This window comes from Homo sapiens, chromosome 10, assembly GCF_000001405.40.
Source record: "Homo sapiens chromosome 10, GRCh38.p14 Primary Assembly".
Lineage (NCBI taxonomy): Eukaryota > Metazoa > Chordata > Mammalia > Primates > Hominidae > Homo > Homo sapiens.
Window position 1 is genome coordinate 38,004,566 of NC_000010.11, and position 27,252 is coordinate 38,031,817.

General features: G+C 40.2%; 1 protein-coding gene across 21 annotated transcripts in view, besides 1 other annotated feature; it reads left to right on the forward strand.

Moving 5' to 3' along the window:
* The first annotated feature begins 5,923 nt into the window (after nt 1–5,923).
* The window catches only part of ZNF33A (zinc finger protein 33A), a 57,346-nt gene continuing 36,017 nt past the window's right edge, over nt 5,924–27,252 (forward strand). For 9 of the 21 annotated variants that reach the window (NR_136709.2, NR_136710.2, NM_001278171.2 and 6 more), the window contains exons 1-4: nt 6,110–6,218; nt 7,733–7,785; nt 12,306–12,450; nt 12,726–12,821. Coding sequence is in view for 12 of the 21 variants with exons in the window: in NM_006954.2 (NP_008885.1) it covers nt 7,777–7,785; nt 12,306–12,450; nt 12,726–12,821 (250 nt within the window). In the remaining 9 variants the exon portion in view is untranslated. Of the gene's footprint in view, nt 6,041–6,084; nt 6,219–7,732; nt 7,786–11,401; nt 11,481–12,305; nt 12,456–12,725; nt 12,822–20,782; nt 20,847–27,252 lie in introns of those variants that run through there. The other 12 variants (XM_011519650.3, XM_011519651.3, NM_001324177.2 and 9 more) reach the window with 9 other exon arrangements.
* Nucleotides 6,633–6,812: an enhancer, noted in NCBI's record as "active region_3273". NCBI's record gives its function as "activates an Ori minimal core promoter by ATAC-STARR-seq in GM12878 lymphoblastoid cells {active_cell/tissue: GM12878}" and the evidence as "EXISTENCE:reporter gene assay evidence [ECO:0000049][PMID:35858748]".

Consider the following 27,252-nt stretch of genomic DNA (forward strand, 5'->3'; position numbering starts at 1 on the left):
TCAGTTGTAATACTTGAGTGATCTCTCTTTTACCATTTGAAACCTGATTGATGTAAATATACTTGCACAAATCAACAATAATTTATTTTATTATTATAAAGTTATATAAGTGGAATTACAATATTATAAGTCCTTTAAAGTTTAATTAAAATGAGGTTCTTGCCAAGAATGTACATTGTGTAAAGGGCCCCCTGCTCAATAAATTGTGCTGGGAAAACTGCATATCCATATGCAGAAAAACAAAACTTGATCCCTACCTATCACCATGTACAAAAATCAACTCAAAATGGATTAAAGACTTAAACATAAGACCAAAAATTGTAAAAATACTAGAAGAAAACCTAGAGAAAACTCTTCAGGGCATTGGTCTAGGCAAAAATTTTATGACTAAGATTTAAAAAGCACAGACAGGGGCCAGGCGTGGTGGCTCATACCCGTAATCCCAGCACTTTGGGAAGCTGAGACGGGTGGATTGGGAGGTCAAGAGATCGAGACCATCGTGGCTAACATGGTGAAACCCCGTCTCTACTAAAAATACAAAAAAATTAGCCAGGCATAGTGGTGGGCGCCTGTAGTCCCTGCTACTTGGGAGGCTGATGCAGGAGAATGACATGAACCCAGAAGGCGGAGCTTGCAGTGAGCTGAGATTGGGCCACTGCACTCAGCCTGGGCAACTGAGCGAGACTCCATCTCAAAACAAAACAAAACAAAACAAAACAAAAAAACAAAAGCACAGACAGGGCCAGGCATGGTGACTCACTCTCAGCACTTTGGGAGGCCGAAGTGGGTGGATCATGAGGTCAAGAGATTGAGGCCAACATGGTGAAACCCTATCTCTACTAAAAATACACACACACACACACACACACACACACACACACACACAAATTAGCTGGGTGTGGTGGTACACACCTGTAATTCCAGCTACTTGGGAGGCTGAGGCAGGAGAATTGCTTGAACCTGGGAGGTGGAGATTTCAGTGAGCCGAGTTCATGCCAATGCACTCCAGCCTGGCAACAGAGCAAAATTCCATCTCAAAAAAAAAAAAAAAATCACAGACAGGCCAGGCACAGTGGCATACACCTGTAATCCTAGCACTTTGGGAAGGTGAGGTGGGCAGATTCCTGAGCACAGGAGTTCGAGACCAGCCTGTGCAACATGGTGAAACCCCATCTCTACTAAAAATACAAAGTTTAGCCAGGCATGGTGGTGGGCACCTGTAATCCCAGCTGCTTGGGAGGCTGAGGCAGGAGGATCACTTGAGCCCAGGAGGTAGAGGCTTTAGTGAGCTATAATCACACCATTGCATTCCAGCCTGTGCAACAGGGTGACAGCATGTCTCAAAATAAATAAACAAACAAATAAATAAAAGCACAGACAACAACAACAAAAAGAAATGGGACTGTATTAAACTAAAAAGTTGCACAGCAAAGGAAACAATTATGAGAGTGAAGAGACAACCTGTAGAACAGTAGAGAATACTTGCAAACTATTTATCCAAAAGGGACTAATATCCAGAATATACAAATAACTCAAAAAACTTGACAGCAAAAACAAAAACAAAAACAAGTAATCTGATTAAAATGTGGGCAAAGGATCTGAATAGATATTTCTTAAAAGAAGACATACAAATGGCAAATAAGTATATGAAAAATGTCCAACATCACTAATCATCAGGGAAATGCCAATCAAAATCACAATGAGGCATCATCTCACCCTCGTTAGAATGTCTATTATAAAAAATATAAAAAATAAGTGCTGGTAAGGATGCACAGAAAAGGGAACTCTTAGACACTATTGGTGGGAATGTAAATTAGTACAACCATTATAGAAAACAATGTGGAGGTTTCTCAAAAAATGAAATAGAACTACCATACAATCCAACAATCACACTGCTTGGGCACATATGCAAAGGAAGGGAAATCCATATTTCTAAGGGATACCTGCACTCCTGTGTTTATAGCAGCACTATTCACAATAGCCAAGATATAATATCAACCTAAATGTTCACCAACAGATGAACGGAAAAAGAAAATATGGTATATAAACACAGTGGAATATTATTATGCTATAAAAATGAAATCCTGTCATTTGCAACAACATGGATGGGCCTGGATGTCATTAAGTGAAATAAGTCAGACACAGAAAGATAATTACTGCACATTTTCACTTATATTTGGGAGCTAAAAAAATTGGGGCTCATAGAAGTAGTGAGTAGAATTATGGGCATTAGAGAGTGAGGGGATAGTGGGGAGGGAAGGATGGGGAAAGTTTGGTACATGAACACAAAATTACAGCTAGATAGAAGAAATGAGCTCTGGTGTTCCACAGCCCTGTAGAGTAAATATGATTGACTGTAATATCAGTCTATATCCCCTAAATATTCACAATTATTAGGTGTCAACTAAATATAAAAGGGAAAAAGGTACAAAAACAGAAAAAATGAGAGGCAAAAAATCAGACAGAGTTAATCAAATTCACAATAAAAATGAATAGCCGTGGCCAGGTGTGGTGGCTCATGCCTGTAATCCCAGCACTTTGGGAAGCAGAGGCTGGTGGGTCACCTGAGGTCGGGAGTTCAAGACCAGCCTGAACAACATGGAGAAACCCCATCTCTAGTAAAAATACAAAAAATTAGCCGGGCATGGTAGCGCATGCCTGTAATCCCAGCTACTCAGGAGGTGGAGGCAGGAGACTCACTTGAACCCGGGAGGTGGAGGTTGCAGTGAGCCAAGATCATGCCATTGCACTCCAGCCTGGGCAACAAGAGTGAAACTCTGTCTCAAAAAAAAAAAAAAAAAAAAAAAGAATAGCTGTGATGGTAAACTTGACTTGGTCACAGGGTGTCCAGATTAAACATTACTTATGGGTGCATCTGTGAGGGTGTTTACAGATTAGATTAGCATTTGAATCAGTGGACTCAGTAAAGCAGATTGCCCTCCTTATGTGTATGGACATGATTCAATCCACTGAGGGTCTGGATAGAACACAAGGCAGAGGAAGGAGGAATTCACCCATATTTTCTGCCTCATTGTTGAGTTGGGACATTTCATCTCATCCTCTCCTGTCCTTAGACTGGGATTTACACCATTGGCTTCCCTGGTTCTCAGGCCTCTGGACTCATACCAGAATTACACCACCAGCATTCCTGGATCTCTAGCTTGCAAATGACAGACTGTGGGACTTCTTAGCCTCCATAATCATGTGAACCAATTTCTCACCACCAATGTCTCTTTCTGCCTTACTCCCTCCTATTGGTTCTGTTTCTCTTGAGAATCATGACTAATACACTGGGAATAAACATTTCCCCAAGCCCATACCATAGGTGTATATTAGTGTTTTTTTCAATCTTTTCAAATCTTAAATTTAAAAATATTTTATTTATTTATAATTTCCCCCAGTTGGAAACAACTAGCATATCCCTGGACTGGGGAATGGATAAGGAAACTGGTAAATCCGTACCAAGAAATAGGAGTCAGCAATGTCAGAGATGATAAATTCTTCTTCAAAAAGCTTAAGTTCCCTGTTCTTTGTTGCTTAAGACCAACTTCCTTGTACTTCCTTGTCTCCTAGCTACCTGTTCTGTAAACAACCTTCCTGCCTTTGCTGTGCACAGACAAGTCCAGATATGACTTCCCACCTTTGCCGTGCCCAGACAAGTCCAGATATGCCTTCCCACCTAGTAATGGACAGTCCTCCTTCCTTCCCGCCTAATAGACCCTATTCAATTTTAAACCTTAGCCAATAGAGTTAGCTTAGACTGTGAGGTCCAACCCCAGCCAATGGGGAAGGGACACAGAAGTGCTAGGAACTGTATCAGGGATAAAATCCCCTGCCCTACCCCTCTCAGTGTACTCTTGTGATCGTGACTGGCACAAGCTGCACCCTTCTGCAGAAGTAAATTTGCCTTGCTGAGGAATTTTCTGCCTACGCGCTGGTTTTCTCTGTGGCACCGGGCACTTGTTTCTAACAGCAGGAAAAGCAAACAGAGGTATTGGTACACAAAACAACACAGAAGGATCTCAATTGCATTGTGTTAAGAGATACCAGATTCAACAACTACATACTGTGTGATTCCATTTATATAATATCCTAAAAAAGGCAAACATATAGGCCCAAAGAATAGATAGCGGTTGCAAGAGGCTAAGAGTGGTGAGAGAATCTGACTTTAAAAAGGTAGCATGGAGGAATTTTATTGACAGAGATGAAACAATTTTGTGTCTTGCTTGTAGTGGTGGTTACACAAATCTATGCATTGTCAAAACTCATAAAATTATGCATCAAATAAAGAACTTTTCAGTATATAAAGCATAAATTAAAAAATGTAAATTTCAATAAATGTTTCACGTATTTTTACTCAAATATTTGCATTTCTTTCTTTTTTTTTTTTTTTGAGACGCAGTGTCGCTCTGTCACCAGGTTGGAGTGCAGTAGCGCAATCTTGGCTCACTGCAACCTCCCCATCCTGGGTTCAAACGATTCTCCTGCCTCAGCCTCCTGAGTAGCTGAGACTACAGGTGTGCACCACAACGCCCCACCTAATTTTTGTATTTTTAGTACAGAAGGGGTTTCACCATGTTGGGCAGGATAGTCTCGATCTCTTGACCTCATGATCTACCCGCCTCAGCCTCCCAAAATGCTGGGATTACAGGCGTGAGCCACCACGCCTGGCCATATTTGCATTACTTTCAATTCTCATAATGGACTTAAAAAGTTTTGCTGGAATGGAGTTGCTTATTTTTCTCTATTATAAAATGTGACTGATATTAAATTTATAGTTTCTGTCTTTGGCATCACATCCCTTGTTGTTTTTTTTGAGACAAGGTCTCACTTTGTCACCCATGCTGGAGTGCAGTGGTGCCATGATGGCTTACTGCAGCCCGGGGCTCAAGTGATCCTCCAACCTCAGCCTCCTGAGTAGCTGGGATCACAGGTGCCTGCCTACATGCCAGGCTAATTGTTATTTTTAGTTTTTTGTAGAGATGGGGGTCCCACTATAGTGCCCAGGCTGGTCTTGAACTCCAAGGATCAAGTGGTCCTCCTGCCTCCGCCTCCCAAAGTGCTGGGGTTACAGGTGTGGGCCACTGTGCCTGGTCCACTTGTCAATTTTCAAAAATTTTTACTCTTTTAGTGGTTTAAATGTTTAAGTATTGTATACATGTGAGATTTTATCATGTGTGATCTATGTATATCTCTACATTCCAAATTGCTCGGAATGACATGCTCTTTGGAATACTCCATTCTTTCCCTCACTGTTTTGAAATGCTGTATCTACTACACATTAAAGAATACTCTTAAGCTGTCTTATTTCCATGGAGCAGGTGCCAAACTACTTTGAATAGAGCAATATTATATAGATAGATGTAGATAGATACAGATATTCCTTAGGCATTTTTTTCCTGCTTTTTAAAATGTATACTGGCTGTTCATTTGGGTTTTTACTTATTCTAGATAAAGTTGAGAATGCTTTTGTGAAGTACAGAATACACTAAAGATCAAAGAGAAAAAATACATAACAAAAATTTGTTGATATTCTTTTAGGAATTTTGTCTTCCTAAGAAAGGTACAGATAGACTAAAAGTATTTCCATTTAGTCAAGCAATTTTAATGTCACAGAGGAAATCATACGTGACATTTATTTTCTTCTTTCAGATTATGTCTAGTTCCTTACTGAGCTACAATTTCCGTTTATTGCTTTAACCATTTTGATGAAGTAGCTTTCCGGCCGCACCTTCCCCTTTTTTCCCCCGCTCCCAAAGAACCGCTGATAGCATGAAAGTCTTTTAAACTGTATGGACGAGATCTATTTCCTAACATTTAAACGGAAAATGACACGCAGCGGTCCTTTCCTTGAGCGTCTGCGTCTAAACTGCCCACAGACCTCCCCCGCAGTATATCCCTTTGGAGTGCCCCGGGGAAAGCCAGGGCTGCAGGCAGTTCCAGCACCAACTCAGACCGCATCTGCCCACTGCCTAGCGGGGCACTTCTCTACCAATCCGAAGGGCTGCTCGCCCGGCCTCACGGGAAAGGTAGTTTCCAGGTAGGGCGCCAACAGCATCAAGCTGTGCGCGTGGGCTCTGCGCATGCCTCGTCCGCCGGCTACGTCTGCGTTTCCGCCTTTCCTTTTGTTTTTCTCAGGTTTTGCGTGGGAGGCGGTCCCGGGATTTCAAGGGTCTACGCGCTTTTCTATGGCGAATGCAACCCGACGAGGGAGTGGGGTAAGCCCCAGTGGGTTGGGCAGGGAGAGAGAGGGAGCCCCGCGCGACTCCTGGGGCGGGCGGCAGGGGGCCGGTACCAAGTGGTGGGGAGGAGGCCCGGGGACCTCATAGGGGAAGGCGGGGACGGCGGGGCTGCAGCGTGTGGGCCACGACGCTAGGCCGGTTCCTCAAAGGCGCGGCCTCTGTACGGAGCAGGGTACGCAGCGTGTGTCGCCCCATTTGTGGGGGCCGCGGAGGAGGGCATGTGCGCTTGCGCAGTCCGCGCGCTGAGCCTTGCGGGAGGGGCAGTTCTCTTGTCTAGCCTGTGCGCGTGTGCTAGGGCGCCGCGGTACGTGGGCGGGGAAAGGCGGGTGCAGTCGCCCGCCAGACCGGCAGACTCGGTTGCACGTATTGCATTCATCCTCTTTAGGTTCCGAACTGACCTCCAGTCAGGTCCATCACTGCATCTTGGTATTTGCTGTTCCTCTGTCCTGACTTGATCTTGCACTCAGGAAAGATCTTCAAGAATTACCTAATTTTGGCCTGGCGCGGTGGCTCTCGCCTGTAATCCCAGCACTTTGGGAGGCCGAGGCGGGTGGATCACCTGAGGTCAGAAATTCGAGACCAGCCTGACCAACATGGTGAAACCCCGTCTCTACTAAAAATACGAAAAGTAGCCGGGCGTGGTGGCGCATGCCTGTAATCCCAGCTACTGAGGCGGAAAATTGCTTGAACCCGGGAGGCGGAGGTTACAGGTAGCCAAGATCGCACTATTGCACTCCAGACTGGGCAACAAGAGCGAAACTCCGTCTCAAAAAAAAACAAAAACAAAGAATTACCTAATTTTGCCTCATTTGTTAGAAGAAAAAGATTTTTTTTGTTTTTTTGTTTGTTAAGGTCACTGACTTGTTCAGGATCACAGTTAGTAGGGAAGACTAAGTCACATCTCCTGACCCCTAAGCCAGTACTGTCTACTTTTCCACACACATCAAAGCAAGTTTAAAATATCCCTTTGAGAAATAGCAACAAAGTTAGATGAAGAAATTAAAACTGATTTTTTCTTTGAAGCACTGCCGCTTATGGCTTTCTGTGGAGTCACTCACCAGAGGTTAAGTAACATTACTGGGAAAATAGATAGCTTAGTCCTATTTTTTACAATGGTTTTAGTGTTAATGTTCCTTCATTAAATATATTGTTAACTTGTTTGGCCAATATTGTCATTATACTTTTTTTTGTGAACACCGAGGGAGATTGAAATCCTTAGGAAGCAAATATTTACTTTCACCCGGTAAAAAATCTTGTGCCCAAGAGCTACATAATTATGTTGGAGTTATTCTTTCACCATTTCTACCGCCTATTCCGAAGTGTTCTTCCACCATTTCTACCCCCTATTCCAAAGTGTCAGAGGACATTGATACTCTCCCAGAGGAAGCATTTTACCTAGTGGGTGTGTATGGCTTCTTAGGGCGGAAGAATCCAGGAGTTGCCAGGCAGGCCAAATCTTTCATGACCCCATTCCTCTTTTTCTAACTCAGCTGTATCTTCAGAGTTGTCTCCGTCTTTCCAAGAACAGAACAAAATGAACAAGGTAAGTTGTTTATTAATTCCCTACTTTATTTTGCAGTGGACTTTGTGAGATTTGTAAGAGTCGATATGGTGTTTGTTTTTTTTTTTTTTTTTTTTTTGTGAGACGGAGTCTCACTCTGTCACCCAGGCTGGAGTACAATGTCCCCATCTCGGTTCACTGCAACCTCTGCCTCCCGGGTTCAAGCAATTCTCCTGCCTCAGCCCCCCGAGTAGCTGGGACTGCAGGCGCATGCTGCCACGCCTGGCTAATTTTTTGCGTTTTAATAGAGACAGGGTTTCACCGTGTTGCCTAGGCTGGTCGCAAACTCCTGAGCTCAGTCAATCCGCCCGCCTTGGTCTCCCAAAGTGCTGGGATTACAAGCGTGAGGCACCGTGTCTGGCCAAGAGTCAATATGTTAAGATGAGAAGTTAGTAATAGATAAAAATTGAACTTCCCAGAAAATATAAAGTAACAGATCAATAGCAGGGCCAAGTTAGAGTCAATAAGTTGAGCTTCGTATGTTTCTTACGTTTCCAACAACCATGGCAGAAAGGAAGACACTGGATACAGACAGACTGACTCCTCTGAAGGCACAAAGACTTCCTGGCAGATACCTTTTTTGGTCATAACATAGGGACCCATAGTGAATAAGCTTCCAGTGATAACCCTGAAATGAGTGCAGCCTATTGAGTCAAACTGCTTTTTTAATTTTTATTTCACACAGGTTCCAGTTTTCTTTTGGATGTAGTGTTTGATCAGTAAATTAAAATGTATTTTAATTTTAATTTTTTTATTTTTTTGAGACGGAATCTTGCTCTCTTGCCATTCTGGAGTACAGTGGCGCGATCTTGGCTCACTGAAACTTCTGCCTCCCGGGTTCAAGCGATTCTCTTGCCTCAGCCTCCCGAGTAGCTGGGACTACAGGCATGCGCCACCACACCTGGCTAATTTTTGTATTTTTAGTAGAGACGGGGTTTTACCGTGTTGGCCAGGATGGTCTTGATATCTTGACCTCGTGATCTGCTCTCCTCAGCCTCCCAAAGTGCTGGGATTACAGGCGTGAGCCACTGCACCCAGCCGGTAAATTAAAATGTATTTTATTATTATTATTTTTTTTGATACAGAGTCTTGCTCTGTCACCAGGCTGTAGCACAGTGGTGTGATCTTGGCTCACTGCAACCTCCGACTCCCTGGTTCAAGTGATTCTCCTGCCTCGACTCCTTGGTTAAAGTGATTCTCCTGCCTCAACCTCCCGAGTAGCTGGGATTATAGGCACGCACCACCATACCCAGCTAATTTTTGTATTTTTAGTAGAGACGGGGTTTCACCATGTTGGCCAGGCTGGTCTCAGTCTCCTGACCTCGTGATCCCCCACCTTGGCCTCCCAAAGTGCTAGGATTGTGTATTTTAATTTTTAATGAATCTTATTTCTACATGTGTAGCAGATAGATACACAACCCCCTAAATTTTAAATATAGAACTTAATGAATTATTACAAATCCGTGGCACAAATAATGAATACACAGGTCAAAACAAACATTGCCAGCACTCCTGAAGCTGCCGTCTTGTCCCCCTCACAATCCTGACACCTCCCTGCTCATTCATTCATTTACATATAAGCCACAGTATCTGGCTTCAGTGGCAGAGTTGAATAGTTGTGACAGGAACATTTTGGCCTGCAAAGCCCCAAATTTAATGATGTCTGATTTTTTTTTTTTTTTTTTTTTTTTTTTTGGAGAGAGTCTCACTGTCACCCAGGCTAGGGTGCAGTGTGCGATCTTGGCTCACTGCAGCCTCTGCCTTCAGGGCCCAAGGGATTCTCCTGGCTAAGTCTCCCAAGTAGCTGAAATTACAGGCACGCGCCATCACACCTGGCTAATTTTGTATTTTAGTAGAGACAGGGTTTTACTTGGCCAGGCTGGTCTCAAACTCCTGGCCTCAAGTGATCCGCCTGCCTTGGCCTCCCAAAGCACTGGGATTACAGGTGTGAGCCACCGTGCCTGGCCAAATATTTAATGTCTGATTTTTTACAGAAGAAGTTTACCAATCCCTAGATTAGTTTATTACGTTTATTTGTTGCTGGTGTGTACTAGTCTAGATGACTTTTCCTACTTCAAGGTTATGAAGATACTCTTGTTACCTTTTAAAATATTTCTTGTTTTGGCATTCACATTTACATCTCTTTCATTGGAATGAGTGTCTACTTCTGTATGAGGTAGATGTCAGATTCCTTTTTTCATGTGGTTAATGTAGAATTATTTTTGAAAACACCATCCTTTCCCCACTGTTTTACATTGTGATATTTGTCATCAATTATGTGTACATATATGTCTGTGTGTTTTTTGGGCTATGTTCTGTTGGTTGGTTGTGCCAGTACCACACTTGGTGAAACATCTTAGCGTCTAGTAGCTGGTTTAACACATTTTTTCTTCAGCAAGATCCTGGCTCTTCCTAGTTCCTTGCATTTCCATACAAATATTGTTAGTATTAATAAAATAACTTGCTGAGACTTTCTTTGGGGTTGAATTGAACCTATATATAAATTTGGGAAGAATTACTTACCTTTTTTTTTGAGACAGAGTCGCCCAGGCTGGAGTGCAGTGGTACGATCTCAGCTTATGCAACCTCCACCTCCCGGGTTCAAGTGATTCTCCTGCCTCAGCCTCCCGAGGAATTGGAATTACAGGCACCTGCCACCACACCTGGCTAATGTTTTTGTATTTTTAGTAGAGACACGGTTTTGCCATGTTGGCCAGGCTGGTCTTGAACTCCTGACCTCAAGTGAGCCACCTGCCTTGACCTCCCAAAGTACTAGGATTATAGATGTGAGCCACTGTGCCTGGCCTCCAATTCCATTCTTGATTATTTTCTTTCCCCAGTTTTCTGACAACCTTCTGATTTTCTCTTGATGGCTTTGAACACCACTATATTATAAATGTCTTTGTAGTCCTTGTTTCATTCTTGATCTTCATATTATGCTTCATTTTTTTTTGAGTTGGAGTTTTGCTCTTGTTACCCAGGCTGGAGTGTAGTGGTGCTGACCTTGGCTCACTGCAACGTCTGCCTCCCAGGTTAAAGGGATTCTCCTGTCTCAGCCTGGTGTCTCAGCGGGTGTCTCAGCTGGGATTACAGACACCCGCCAACACGCCTGGCTAATTTTTTGTATTTTTAGTAGAGATGGGGTTTCACCATTTTTGTCAGGCTGGTCTCTTAACTCCTGAGCTCAGGTGATCCACCCACCTCAGCCTCCCAAAGTGCTGAGATTACAGGTGTGAGCCACCATGCCAAGCCTATGCTTCAAATTTAATATAATTAGGATGTTTCTTACTAGAATACTGTGTCCAACCTATATAGCCCTAACTTTCCTGGTTTACATTGTGGCCCTAGTATCTGGGCAGCTGTGCATGGAGATAGCCAGAGGAAACATTTTTTTTCTTAATGAATTGGTGACCACATTTTGTTGTTCTTGCCTCCTATTATCCGTGCCCTATTTGCATCCTGGTTTCTTCTACAGTAGTTTATGTAAATGTTGTTTTGTCCTTTGTCGTTCTCAGTAGAATTGGTTCTGTAAACGAAACCTGGTCCTGTAATTTCAGTATATGCTCATATCTCATCTTTGGCTCTCCCATTTTCACAGCAGTGATCCCTAAAAGATGTGCCCTAGAGGATATCCAGAACAATCCAATTGGATGTCTTCTCCGCTGTACTCCACAGAGGTTTCAAATATAATGGTTCCAAAATCTTTCCATTTTCTACACATCCTTATTATTGTCTCTGAATTAAAGGATTAGAACCCAGAATATGTATTGCGATGAAGAAAATGTCAGGCTCTTTTTCTACATTTTTAAATCCAAATGAGAGTTAAATTAGAATTCATAATGAATGTACTGACAATTTATTTCTGTGATTTGTAAATATAAATCTGTAGTTCTCAGTAATATTCTTGAAAATGGTAAATGATCAAATACTTTGGAGACCATTGGTCTAAAATTACTCTATAACCCATTTCCTTGGCTTTTTTTCTCAAGACAGCACCAGGCCATCTCCTGTGCTGTCTGCCATTTTGTTGATGTCTGCAGTGTGTTGGAGGCCCTCACCTTTGCTTGTATCATGGCCCTATGCTTATGAAGAACGTAATAGAGTGTTTTTCATAATTCAACCAACAGCTGTACTTCCTCAGTTAAGCTCAAAACAGAGCCAACTTTGCTCCTAATGTTAGTCTACTGTGTTTGTACTTTCACCTTAGTACTTGTAACATATTACCACACATATTTTCTTACCACTCTGTGTGTTCTTTGAACACAGGAAGATTTTTATTAATCTTAGTATTTCCAGCAGTGATGATAGTTCCAGGTACTTTGTAGGAACTTGATAATTTCTTTTGCATGAATTAATATCTTAATGCATTAATGGCAGAATATTTCTGTTATGATTTCTTTTTCCCTAAAAGTATAAAACAAAACAATATTCTGTGAATAATAATCATGGTAAGGATTAGCCCATACTTCTTTTTTCATGCCACCTAATTCTGAATGTTTCAGGTAGAACAGAAGTCCCAGGAGTCAGTATCATTTAAAGATGTGACTGTGGGCTTCACCCAGGAGGAGTGGCAGCACCTGGACCCTAGTCAGAGGGCTCTGTATAGAGATGTGATGCTGGAGAACTACAGCAACCTTGTCTCAGTGGGTAAGGTCTGTTCACTGTATCATTCTAAATAGCATTTGTTTATTCTTTTGATTATGAAGCGTATGGGCAGTCTGTATAGTTTAATGATATTTAAGGTTAGGCTTCAGGAGTCAGTGTTGATTGATCACCTCTGAGTACCAGAAGATACTTGTGTTCACCTCTCCAGTGAAAATGTTCCACTGGCAACTCGAAGCAGCCCCAGAAGCTTCTTCCTGCTTCAAAGGCCTGAAGTCTAGACTGCTTGGTCCAAATCCTAAATTATTTCCTGTTAACAGGGTATTGTGTTCACAAACCAGAGGTGATCTTCAGGCTGCAACAAGGAGAAGAGCCATGGAAACAGGAGGAAGAATTCCCAAGCCAAAGCTTTCCAGGTGAGTTAATATGTACTGCACAGATTCACATCAGGGGATTTGTTGTTTCCCAGTAGTTAATTCAGGGTTTGGCAACTTTGGAAGATTTTTCAAGAACATCTCCATAGGGATCCTAACCTCTGGAAGTGATGGAGAATATTGATTCCTAAATCAAACTTCCAGATACTACTCACAAAAAATTCCTCCTTTTTGAATCGTTTTTTGAATGTTTACTATTCTTACACCTGCCAATAGTTCAGTCTTTGCCCACCTCAACTTTACTGTTGTTTTTCTTGGTTATCATTTTTCTCCAAGCACTTTCAGTGTCCTACCTTGCCTCCCTTGTTTTGTGTTTATTCTGTTGTCAGAATTTTTTATACACTCATTTTTAAACTCAGCAAATAATGTTTGCATACTTGCTGTGTGCTGAGGATATAATGATGAAAAACATTAGGCTGGGTGTGGTAGCTCACACCTGTAATCCCAGCACAGGTCGAGGCAGGCAGATCACTTGAGGTCAGGAGTTCCACAACAGCCTGGCCAACATGGTGAAACCCCGTCTGTACTAAAAATACTAAATTAGCTGGGTGTGGTGGCAGGTGCCTGTAATCCCAGCTAACTGGGAGGCTGAGGCAGGAGAATCACTTGAACCCAGGAGGCAGAGGTTGCAGTGAGCTGAGACTGTGCCACTGCACTCCAGCCTGAGCAACAGAGTGAGACTTTGTCTCAAAAATAAGTAAATAAATATAAAAAAATAAATTATGCCTCTAAGTATATTATGTATACCTATATGTATATGTATATTAAATGTTCTGTGGTTTTAAAGACTATGAAAGAAATTAAAGCAAGTTAGATTGGCTGAATGTGGTACTTTAAAGAACAGTCAGGGGAAACCTTAATGAGGTCAACATTAGAGCAGAGATTTGAATGAAATGACTGTGTGAGCCATGAGGATTCTGACCCTTTTCAGCAGGGGTAATAGCAGCTGCTAGCCTTGGGCAGGAATGTGGTTGGTGGGTTTCAGGAATAACCAAAAAGTCACAGTGGCTGAAGGGAGGGGTTGATTGGAGGAAGGGCAGGAGGTGAGGTGAGGGAGACAGCTAGAGTCCAAAGGTGAGCCCATCATAAGCCTTATTCAGTTAATTTTATTTTTAATTTAGTGGTAGATTTTCAGCAGATGAGCAACATCTGATTTATATTTCTATAAGATCTTTCTCACCTCTGTAGAGAAAATATTGGGCATGGCATAGGGCATAGAGAGCTCATTAAAGGCCTTGGTAGTTTTCCTTATGAGTGATTGTGGTAGCTTAGACAGAGCCGGAAGGCAGGAGGGAATGGGATGTAGTTTGGTTCTCTCAGTATTTGGAAAGTGGGGCAATAACAAAAGAACTAACATTTGTAACATCAGAAGGAGGGGAAAGAGGTGTTTAAAGTATTTGAAGAAGTAATGGCTGGACCTTCTCAAATTTAGCGAAAAGATATAAAACTACACATTCCCGAGTCTGAAGTAACATCAAATAAGTCCATGGCAAACTCACACTGTAATTAAATTTTTGAAAACCAAAGACAAAAATTTTCTTTTTTTTTTTAATTTGAGCTTGTGATAATTTTATTTTATTTTATTTTATTATTATTATACTTTAAGTTTTAGGGTACATGTGTACAAGGTGCAGGTTTGTTACATATGTATACATGTGCCATGTTGGTGTGCTGCACCAATTAACTCGTCATTTAGCATTAGGTATATCTCCTAATGCTATCCCTCCCCACTCCCCCCACCCCGTAACAGTCCCCAGTGTGTGATGTTCCCCTTCCTGTGTCCATGTGTTCTCATTGTTCAATTCTCACCTGTGAGTGAGAACATGCAGTGTTTGGTTTTTTGGCTTTGCGATAGTTTGCTGAGAATGATGGTTTCCAGTTTCATCCATGTCCCTACAAAGGACATGAACTCATCATTTTTTATGGCTGCATAGTATTCCATGGTATATATGTGCCATATTTTCTTAATCCAGTCTATTGTTGTTGGACATTTGGGTTGGTTCCAAGTCTTTGCTATTGTGAATAGTGCCGCTATAAACATACGTGTGCATGTGTCTTTATAGCAGCATGATTTATAATAAAATTTTCAAAGTAGCCAGAGAGAAACAACACATTCCCTACAGAGAATGACTGTGGGTTTCTCTTCTGAAACTGCGGCAGCAGGAAGGAAGTAGTATGTTTTCTCAAGTACTGAGAGGAAAGCACTATCAAATAAAAATCTGTATCTTTTGAAACTATCTTCATGAATAAAGGGGAACTAAAGGCATTATTAGACAGGGAAGCTAAGAGAAAATGTTGCTAGCAAACCTACCTTTAAAAATTGGCTAGAAGTTCTCTAAATAGAATGGAAATAACACAAGAAGGCTTGGAATGCAGGCAAGAAAGAAGATTGGAGGTTGGCAAAAATAGGGATAAATATATTTTTCTCATGAGTTTCTAGAATCATTTTTGATGGTTGGAGCAAAATGCTCTGTATGTAGTGGGAACACTTAAGACAATTATATTTTAAAAGTGGGGAGAGTAAAGGGGCCTAAGTGGAATGAAACTTGGTGCATTTCACTTCAAGTGGTAAAATGTCTGATAGACTGATAAGTTACATATGTACATTTTTATACCTAGAACAACTACTGAGAATACTATAAAATGTGATACACTTAGAAACACTATAAATAAACCAAGATGGAATCTAAAAGATGAATGGAAAACAGAAAACAAAACAAATAGCAGCCTAACAGAGCAATATTTACCTTAAATGTAAATGATCAAAGTATACTAATTAAAATATAAACTGATAGAGTGGAAAAAACATAAAACAATTCTAAAATTTTTAATTTTTGTGAGTACATAGTAGGTATATATATTTTTGAAGTACAGATGTTTTGATACAGGCATGCAATGTGTAATAATCACATTTACCCTAATGTGATTATTTATCTTTTGTGTTATAAACAATCCAGTTATACTCTTTTAGTCACTTCAAAATGTACAATTAAATTTGACTATAGTGACCCTGTTGTGCTAGCAAATATTAGGTCTTATTCATTCTTTCTAAAGGTTTTTTTCTACCCTTTAACCATCCTCACCTTCCCCCGACCCCACCCCACTACCTTTCCCAGTCTCTGGTAACCGTCCTTTTACTTTCTACCTCACCTCCATGAGTTCAGTTATGTTAATTTTTAGCTTTCACAAATAAGTGAGAACATGCAAAATTTAACATTCTGCTTCCATTTCCGTCTAGGTTGTTGCATATGACAGGATCTCTCATTCTCTTTTATGGCTGAATGGTACTCCATTGTGTATATGTACCACATTTTCTTTATCTGTTTATCTGTGAATGGACACTTAGGTTGATTCCAAATCTTAGCTCTTGTGAACAGTGCTGCAGTAAACATGGGAGCAGAGATATCTCATTGATGTACTGATTTCTTTTCTTTTGGGCATATACCTAGCAGTGGGATTGCTGGATCATATGATAGCTCTATTTTTAGTTTTTTCAGGAACTTCCAAACTGTTCTCTTTCAGCCATATGAAGTGAAAACCATGCTCTGTAAGTGCTCACCTGACTTTTAGTTCCTGTGAAACTGCTGCTTTTGTGTGGATAGTTGCCAATCTTAGTCTTCCTGCGGGGGGAGTGGGTATGATCGGTGGTGTTCTCTATTCCACCATCTTGCTCCACCCATCCTAAAAATGTTTTCTTAGGAAACTCATAACATAATGAACAACATAGGTTGATAAAGTATATAAAAAGATAAACTGTACAAACATTAATCAAAACAGAGTGACACTATTAATATCAAATACAGTAGACTCCAGAGCAAAGAAAATTATTAGACAAAAGGAACATTATATAATGATAAAAGGATCAATCCAACAAAAATGCAATGATCCTAAATGTGTCTCTAGCAAACCTCAAAGTACACAAAACAAAACTGATTGAGCTGAAAAGAGAAAAGCACATTTTTAATTGTATTTGGAAAATTCATCACTTCACTGTTAGCAATTGGTAGAATTACTAGCCATGAGGTCAGGAATTCAAGAGTAGCCTGGATAACATGGTGAAACCCTGTCTCTACTAAAAATACAAAAATTAGCCAGGCATGGTGGCGCATGCCTGTAGTCCCAGCTACTTAAGAAGCTGAGGTAGGAGAATCGCTTGAACTGGGAGGCGAAGGTTGCAGTGAGCCAAGATTGTGTTACAAAGCTTGGGTTACAGAATAAGACTCTGTCTCAAAAAAGAAAAGAAAAAAAAAGAGTAGTGCCCAACAACAGCAAAATAAAATTTTTTTCTCAAGTGTCCATGGAATATTCAGAAAGATAGACCATATTCTGGGCCATAAATAAGCCTTGGCAGATTTAAAAGAATTGAAATCATTCTGAGTATGTATGTTTTCTGGCCATAATGAAACCAAACTACAAATCAGTAATAGAGTGACAATAGGAAAATATCTAATCATTTAGAAATTAAACATCAGACTTCTAAATAAAGTCTGGAGTGAAGAAGGGGCCTCAAATTCAATAGTAGAAATGCATAGACTTAATGAAAATGAGACCATACCGTATCAATATATGTGGGAGGTAGCTAAAGCAGTGCTGATAGAGAAATTTATGGCACTAAATGCTGACAGTAGACAAGACGATAGGTTGCAAACCCATAATTGACTTTCTACCTTAAGAAACTAGAAAAGAGCAAAATAAAACCTCTGTTAAGTAGAAGGACGAAAATAACACTGGAAGCAGAAATCAGTAAAATTGAAAATAGGAAAAAGTAGAGAAAACTAATGAAACATAGGGTTCTTTGGGAAAAAATCAATAAAATTGATAAACGTCTAGCAATATTGATTTAAAATATAGAATGAGATGACAAATCATCAATATCTGGAATGAAACAGGGAATATCACTCCACCATCCATTTAACAGTATAATAAGGGAATCTTGTCAACAACTTTATGTTTATAAATATGACAACATAGGCCAGGTGTGGTGGCTCATGCCTGTTATTCCAACACTTTGGGAGGCCAAGGTGGGTGTATCACCTGAGGTCAAGAGTTCGTGACCACCCTGGCCAACATGGTGAAACTCCGTCTCTACTAAAAATACAAAAATTAGTCTGGTGTGGTGGTGCACGCCTGTAGTCCCAGCTACTCAGGAGGCTGAGGTAGGAGAATGGCTTGAACCCAGGGAGTGGGAGGTTTCAGTGAGCTGATACTGCTCCATTGTACTCTAGCCTGGGCAACAGAGCAAAACTCTGTCTCAAAAAAAAAAAAAAAAAAAAATGACAACATGGAAGAAATGTACCAGTTCTTCAGAAACCACAAACTATTACAACTCAGTCAGGGTGATATAGATAATTTGAATGACCCATAGGTTTTCATAAAGGTTGACATAATTTGAATCAAATAATTTAAATTTTAAAAACCTCCAAAAAACCAATTTCCAAGTACAAGAGAGTTGTAGTCCTCACTAGAGAATTCTACCAAACATTTACACAAGAATTAATGATGATTTTACACAATGTCCTCAGAAAATAGAAGTGGGAATATTTATTTTATTTATTTAATTAGATGGAGTCTTGCTCAGTCACCCAGGCTGGAGTGCAGTGGTGTAATCTCGGCTCACCGCAACCTCTGCCTCCCGGGTTCAGATGATTCTCCTGCGTCAGCCTCCCAAGTAGCTGGGACTGCAGGCACATGCCACCACACTCGGCTAATTTCTGTATTTTTAGTAGAGACGGGGTTTCACCATATTGGCCAGGCTGTTCTCCAACTCCTGACCTCATGATCTGTCCACGTTGGTCTCCCAAAGTGCTGGGATTACAGGTGTGAGCCACCGCACCCGGCCAAGAGGGAACATTTCTTAACACATTTAAAAAATTATTTTGATGCCAAAATCATACAGACAGTACAAAAATAATACAACTACAGACATATACCTCTCATAAATTTAGTAGCAAAAATCTTTAACAAAATACTAGCAAATAGAAAACAGTCATGTAAAAAGTATACACCATAATAACCAAGTGGGATTTATTTGAGTTATACAAGCAAGGCTGGTTCAACATTCAGAAATCGATCAATGTAATTAACCCAGCATAGGCTAAAGAAGAAAAATTACATAACATCAGTTAATAATAGAGAAAGGATTTGACAAAATGCAATATCCATCCATGATAAAAACTCTCCATACTAGACATTGAGAGGATCTTCCTCAATTTGATGAATGAACATGCACAAAATATTTATAGCAAATATATTTGCTGGTAAGATGAATGCTTTCCCTGTAAAACTGGGAACAAGGCAAGGATGTTTGCTCCTGCCACTCTTATTCATTGTAGTACTGTAACTTCTATCAAGCACAATGAGGCAAGAAAGTGAAATAGAAGTCATACACGTAGAGAAGAAATAAAACTTTATATTTACATATGACATGATTGTATACGTAGAATATTACAAGGAATCTTAGAAAAAAACCTCAGGCCAGGCGCAGTGGCTCATGCCTATAATCCCAGCGCTTTGGGAGGCTGAGGCAGGTGGATCACCTGAGATCGGGAGTTCAAGAGCAGCCTGACCAATATGGAGAAACCCCATCTCTACTAAAAATACAAAATTAGCCGGGTGTGGTGGTGCATGCCTGTAATCCCAGCTACGTGGGAGGCAGGAGAATTGCTTCAACCTGGAAGGTGGAGGTTACGGTGAGCCGAGATCACGCCATTGCATACCAGCTTGGGCAACAAGAGTGAAACTCCGTCTCAAAAACAAAACAAAAAAAAAAAAAAAAAAGAAAAAATGTAAACCTCCCAGAAAGAATGAATGATTTCCAAAAAGTTTCAGGATCCAAGATGAACACATATAATCAATTTCTCTCTACTAACAATGAACATATGGAAATCTAAATTAAAAACATAATACCACTTATTCCATAGAAAATTAAATAGTTTGGTATAAATTGAACAAAATATGTATAGGACTTTTGTGCTGAAAATTACAAAATGCTGATGAAAGAAATAATAGAAATAAATGAAGACACATGGTCTCTTGATAGATTGGAAAACTCAACTTAGTAAGTATGCCAGTTCTCTCCAAATTGATCTGTAGGTTTAATGGCATTCCTGTCAAGATTCCAGTAAGGTTTTTCTCAGCTTTAAATAAACTTATTCCAAAATTTGCATAAACAGTCAAAGTCATAAACAGTTGAAACAATTTGGGAAAATTTTTCTCAAAAGTTTTGAGAAAAAGAATAGTAGGAATTATTGTATCCAGTGTTAAGGCTTATTACATTAGTCTCCCCTTTTCTGTGGTTTTGCTTTCTGCAGTTTCAGTTACCTGAGGCCAGCTGTGGTTCAAAAATATTAAATAGGAAACTTCAGAAATAAATAATTCCTCAGTTTTAAGTTGCACACTGTTGTGAGTAGCATGATGAAATTTTGCACTGTCCTGTCCCAGGACATGAATCAACCCTATGTCTAGCATACCCAGGCTGTATATGCTACCCATGAGTTAATTACTTAGTAACTGTCTTGATTATTTATTGTCACAATATGTGTTCAGGTAACCCTTATTTTACTTAATAATGGCCCTGAAGTGCCAGAGTAGTGATGATAGCATATTGTTATAACTTTTCTATTTTATGATCTTGTTAATCTTTCCCTGTCCCTAATTTATAAATTAAACTTTATCATAGGTTTGTATATTTAGGAAAAAACATAGTATTTATAGGGCTCAATACTATCTGAGGTTTCAGGCTTCCGCTGGGTGTCTTGGAATGTACTTCCCTTGGATAAGGAGTGACTACTGTATGTATATATTAATAGCTATAATAATCAAGAGGACAGGATGTTGGTAGAATATACACATTGGTAGAACATACATATAGAATGATGGAAAAGAATGGAAAACCTCAACATTGATTATGCTGTTATATAGACTATATGTTCATGTCTCCCCAGAATTCATATGTTGGAGCCCTCACCCCAAGTGTGGTGGTGTTTGGAGATATGCAGCCCTTGGCAGGTAATTAGGGTTAGATTAAGTCATGAGAGTGGGGCCCTCAAGATGAGGTTAGTGCCTTACAGGAAGAGGAAGTGAGAGCTTGCTCACTCACCATGTGCATAGAGGAAAGGCGATGTGAATATGCAGTGGCCTTCTGCAAGCTAGGAAGAGGCCCTCACCAGGCCCTGGCCATGCTGGCGTCCTGATCTCAGACTTCCAGCATTTGGAACCGTGAGGAAATAAACTTCTGTTGTTTAAGCCACACAGTCTGTGGTATTTTGTTATGGCAGCCGAAGCTAAGACATTTGACAAACTGTTGACAAAAATGCAAAAGAAATTCAGCCAGGTATTCAGCAAATGATGCTGGAGCATTTTAACGTATCTTGTTTTGTGTGTGGTAAAATATATGTATCATGAAATTTGCCATTTTAACAGTCCAGTGGCATTACACTCACAATGTTGTATAGCCATTACCACAATTTCTAATAGATTTTCATTATTTCAAACAGAAACCCTATTGCTATTAAGCAGTAACTACTCATTCCCCCCTCCTGCCAGCCTATGGTAACCCCTTATCTAGTTTGTCTCTGTGAGTTTTGACTGTTGTGAATATTTCATGTCAGTAGTGTGACAACATTTGGCCTTTCATGTCTGCCTTATTTCACTTAGCATGATGCTTTCAGCTTTCAACTGTATTGTAACAAGTATCAAGACTTTCTTTTCTGGCTGTTTAATCCATTCATCTGTTGATATACACTTGGGTCATACACCTTTTGGCTGTTGTGAATAATGCTTCAGTGAACACTGGCATATCATTATCTGCTCAAGTTCCTGTATTCAGTTCTTTTGGATATAAACCTAGGAGTAGAATTCTTTTATCAAAGTATTTCTTTTAGCTTTTTGGGGTACCACTGAATTATTTTTAATGTGTAGATAGATAGATAGATAGATAATTTGTTTTTGAAACAGAGTCTTACCCTGTCGCCCAGACTGGAGTGCAGTGGTGCGATCTCGGCTCACCACAACCTCCGCCTCCTGGGTTCAAGTGATTCTTCTGACTCAGCTTCCCGAGTAGCTGGGACTACAGGCACATGCCACCATGCCTGGCTAATTTTTGTGGTTTTAGTAGAGACGGGGTTTCACCATGTTGGCCAGGCTTGAACACCTGACCTCAGGTGATCCACCCGCCTTGACCTCCCAAAGTGCTGGGATTACAGGCGTGAGCCACTGCACCCAGCCTTAACTTACTTTTTCTTTTGTTGCTCGTGCATTTTATGTCATAGGTAAGAATCCATCAGCAAACCCAAAGTTTTCCTTATGTTTTCTTCTAAACATTTTAAGTAGGGATCTAACTTTATTTTCTCACTTTATTTTCTTGTGGAAATCCAGTTGACCCAGCATCATTTTTTTGGTCATTTGTCATCATTCCAAACAGAAACTGTCGCCATTAAGCGGTAACTACTCATTCCCCCTTCCGACCAGTCTGTGGCAACCTCTAATCTATTTTGTCTCTGTGAGTATGACTGTTGTGAATATTTCCTGTCAGTAGTGTGACAATATTTGGCCTGCATCAACTGAAAGAAAAGGCTTTTCTTTCTCCCAGTGAATAGAATTGACACCCTTGTCAAAAATCAGTTGACCATAGGTAGTGTATTTTTGGGCTCTCACTTGCATTCCATTTGTCTGTCTATACCAATGCCATGACCACACTGTTTGGATTACTGTAGCTTTCTAATAAGTTGTGAAATTGGAGATTTTGAGTCTTCTGACTTTGTTCTTGTTCATTTTCTTTTCTTTTTTTTTTTAACATTGATTTTCTTATGTTGAACCACACAGGCATTTCCAGGATAAATTAGTCCTCTTAATATACCATTAAATATATTTTACTGGAATTTTTGTGTGTGTGTGTATAGCTTTGTATCTGTATTCATATGCATCATTCATTCATTCATTTATTCATTTGCATTTGTATTTTTTTTTTAAGAGACAGAGTCTCACTCTTGCCCAGGCTGTAGTGCAGTGGTACAATTACGGCTCACTGCAGCCTTGAACTTCCAGGCTCAAGTGATCCTCCCCATTCATCCTGCTGAGGGGACTACAGCTGTATACCACCATGCCCACTATGCCCAGCTATCTTTTTTTTTTTTTGGTGGAAACGGCATGTTGCTCATGCTGATCTTGGACTCCTGGCATCAAGTGATCCACCTTGGCCTCCCAAACCTCTGGGATTACAGGTGCTATCCACTATGCCCAGCCTCAGTCTAAAACTGTTAACTGTAAGAACTGTCAGTTTCTCCCTTGCATTCTGTCAGTGTTTGCTTTACATGTTTCAGGATGCTGCTTGGTACACACATAGTTATACTTTTTATATCTTATTGATGGAACGACCCTTTATTCATATATAGTATCCTTCTTTGTCCCTTGTAACAGCTTATGACTTAATCTATTTTGGGTGAAATTAGTATAGCCACCCCAGTTCCCTTTTGGTGGCTATTTTCATGGAATATCTTTTATCAGCCTTTCAGTTTTAATTTATTTGTGTCTTTGGATCTAAAGTCAGTTTGTTTTGGACAATGTGTAGTTTGATCATGATTTTAAAAAATCTATTCTGAAGCTGGGTGGTTCACACCTGTAATCCCAGCACTTTGGGAGGATCTCTTGAGCCCAGGAGTTGGAGACTAGCCTGGTCTACAAAGTGAGACTCTGTTTCTACAAAAAAATAAAATAAATAGTTGGGTGTGGTGGTATGCGCTTGTGGTTCCAGCTACTTGGGAGGATGAGGGAGGAGGATCCCTTGAGCCCAGGAAGTCAAGGCTGCAGTGAGTCATGTTTGTGTCACTGCACTCCAGCCTAGGTGACAGAGCAAGATCCTGTCTAAAATAAATAAATAAATAAAATAAAATAAAATAAAATCCATTCTGCCAGCCTCTGCCTTCTGATTGGTACATTCAATCAATTATCATTTAAACTAATCACCAACAAGGCAGTGCTTCTGCCATACTGCATTTTGTTTTCTGTATGTTGTATACCTTCTTTGGTCTCATATTCCTTTTATTACTGTCTTCTTTGTGTTTTGTTGATTTTTTTTTTTTTCGAGACAAAAGTCTTGCTCTGTTGCCCAGGCTGGGGTGCAGTGGTACGATCTTGGCTCACTGCAACCTCCTTCTCCTGGGTTCAAGTGATTCTCATGCCTCAGCCTCCCAAGTAGCTGGGACTACAGGCACGTGCCACCACATCCAGCTAATTTTTGTGTCTTTAGTAGAGATGGAGTTTTGCTGTGTTGGCCAGGCTGGTCTTGAGCTCCTGGCCTCAAGTGATCCACCCATCTCGGCCTCCCAAAGTGCTGGAATTACAGGCATGAGCCCACCATGCCTGGACTGATTTTTATAGTGAATCATTTTTATTCCCTTCTTTATTCCCTTCTCATTTCCTTCTGTGTATATTTTTTAGATATTGCCTTTGTAGTTAACCATGGGGATTGCTTTCACATTCTAAATTTATGAAAATCTAGTTTAAATTAATTCCCTCGTAACTTCAATGTCATATGAAGACCTTGCTTCTACCTAGCACCTTACTCATCCCCTTTATGTTGTTTTCACACATTACGTCTTTATACATTGTGTACCGATAATGTAAATTTTTATTTAGTTCTTATCCATTTATCTTTTAAGTCCCGCAGGAAGTAAAAAAATGGAGTTACAAAGCAAACATACAGTGACCCTGGCTTTTATATTTGTCTATATAGTTAACTTTATTGGAAATCTTTATTTTTTCCTCCAGATTAGAGTCTAGTTTGTTTTTATTTCATCTTTAAAGACACCCTTTAGTGCTTCCTGTATAGCAGGCTTAGTAGTAACAAACTCTTCAGCATTTGTTTATCTGGGATTAACTCCATTTCTCTTTCATTTTGAAGGACTGTTTTACCAGCTAGAGAGTTCTCAGATGATAGTTTTTTTCTTTCAGCAATTTATATATGTCATCCATCTGTCTTCAGGCCTTCAATTGATTTCTAAGGAGATATCAGCTCCTAATATTAATGAGGATCTCTTGTAAAGTAAAAATGCCACAAAACTTTCCCACCATTTGAAGTCGCCTTTTTCCTGATTTGGCATTCACTTGGTTACTGTAAACCTTTGTTTTCCAGAGTTCTAACAAGGTTGGTTTTTATAGTTCTTGTTTTTTGGTGTTTCTGTGGGGAGACAGTTTGGAGCTGTGTACTCCACCATTTGGTTATGTCACTCAACAACATGGACCTGTTGTCCACTCAAGAACAACAACAAAATGAGATCTGCAAAGAAACGGGAAAAATGTGACCTATGCACAGGACTAACAACAGGCAACACAATAATATGGTTTCTGCCATTTAAGTTGGCAGAAACGGGGTTGTCTGGTGCAGATCAGTGTATATTGTGTAATTTGAGGAAGAGCCAGTAAAATAATGAAAAATGAACAAAACCTTGGGAAACGGATATCATTAGGTGCACCAGCATATACAAATGGGAGTATCAATGTGAGAGAACAGAAAGGGAAAGAAAAATTTTTTGAAGAATTACAGAAACACCCACAATTTGTTGAAGAACACTAATATATTCATCCAAGAAGCTCAACAAACTCATATGAGGATAAATGCAAAGAGACTTATACCCAGACACGTTATACTGAAAGATGTTTTTATCATGCTCTTATTTGACCTGCCTTATAAAAGTGATAATACAAGTGCTGGTGAGGACTTACAGGAACTGAAATGTTCATATGTTTTTGATGGCATGTAAAATGCTACAGTCATTCTAGAAAATAGTTTGTCAGTTCCATTTAAAACTAAAAACAAACTTAGCATGTCAATCACTAGTTGCACTGTTAGACATTTATCCTTGAGAAATAAAAACTTATGTTCCATCAAAAAAATTTCATAGCAGTTTTATGGGTAATAGCCCAAACCTGAATAATCCAGATGTTCTTGAATGGATAATGTGTGGTGTGTCCATACCATGAAGTGTTACCCAGCATTAAAATGGAATGAATGGCCAATACATGTAACATTATGGATGAATCTCAAGAGATTAAGCTGAGTTTTAAAAAACCCAATCTCAAAAATTTACATATTTGTTCTGGTCCACCCCATAGTGTTGGGGTGAACCCTCCTACCCCCAATGTTTGGTTTGGATATCAAAACTGGTAATGATATTAAGAGTGTAAAAAGGAGTTTATTAGTTATAGAGACAGGTTTCTAGGGAGACTAGAGAAGGCTCCTAAGGAGATCTAAATGTGGGTTGAGAAAGAAGGGAGAAGAATGGCTGCTTGTCAGTAGGAATTTGGGGTGGGGTAAGCGCACACAAAAGGGATGGAGTTTGTGTGGTTTGAGTTTCCTACTGGCATTGAGGGAGTGACCACCTAGGCTTTATTATTGGCTTGCCCAAATGTAGGGTAAGAGGGGAGATGGGTGGGATTTGAAATCTATTAGCAGCCAATTACCACAAATGCAGTTAGGCTGTTTATCATAATACCTCATGATTTTATTTGGATAACACTTTTGAAATGACAACATAGAGATGGAGAACTGATTCGTGGTTGCCAGTGTTAGGAAGGCAGAGAGGGTGGGAGATGGCTGTAGTTACCATGTGTGGCATCCTTGTGATGGGACTGTTCTGTATCACCAATGTTGTGATTTTCACAAAAATCTATACCTGTGGCAAAATTTATAGAACTAAATATACACAACTAATGCATGTGAAACTTGTGAAATCTGAATAAGGTTGATTGAATAAATCAATGTCAGTTCTTGGCTGATATTGAACTATAGTTCTGCAAATTGTTACCATGGAGAAAACTGGGTGAGGGGTACATAGAATCTTCTCATTATTTCTTCCAGCTGCATGTCAGTTTAAGAATTGTCTCCAGGCTGGGTGTGGTGGCATATGCCTGTAATCTCAGCATTTTGGGAGGCCAAGGTGGGTGGATCACTTGAGCTCAGGAGTTTGAGACCAACCTGGGCAACATGGTGAAAACCCATCTCTACAAAAAGTAAAGACATTAGCCAGGTGTGGTGGTGCGTGCCTGCAGTCCCAGCTACTTGGGAGGCTGAGGTAGGAGGATCGCTTGAGCCCAGGAGGTCAAGGCTGCAGTAAGCTGTGATGGCACCATTCGACTCCAGCCTGGGTGACAGAGTGAGACCTTGCCTCAAAAAAAAAAAAGAAAAGAAAAAAAAAAAAAGAATTGTCTCCAAATAAAAAGTTTTGTAAATTACCTGCCAACTATAAATAATTCAGCTTCTTAATCTTTAATAAAGGTAATAGGCCGGGTGCGGTAGCTCACGCCTATAACCCCAGCACTTTGGGAGGCTGAGGCGGGCAGATCATGAGGTCAGGAGATGGAGACCATCCGGGCCAACATGGTGAAACCCCATCTCTACTAAAATACAAAAAATTAG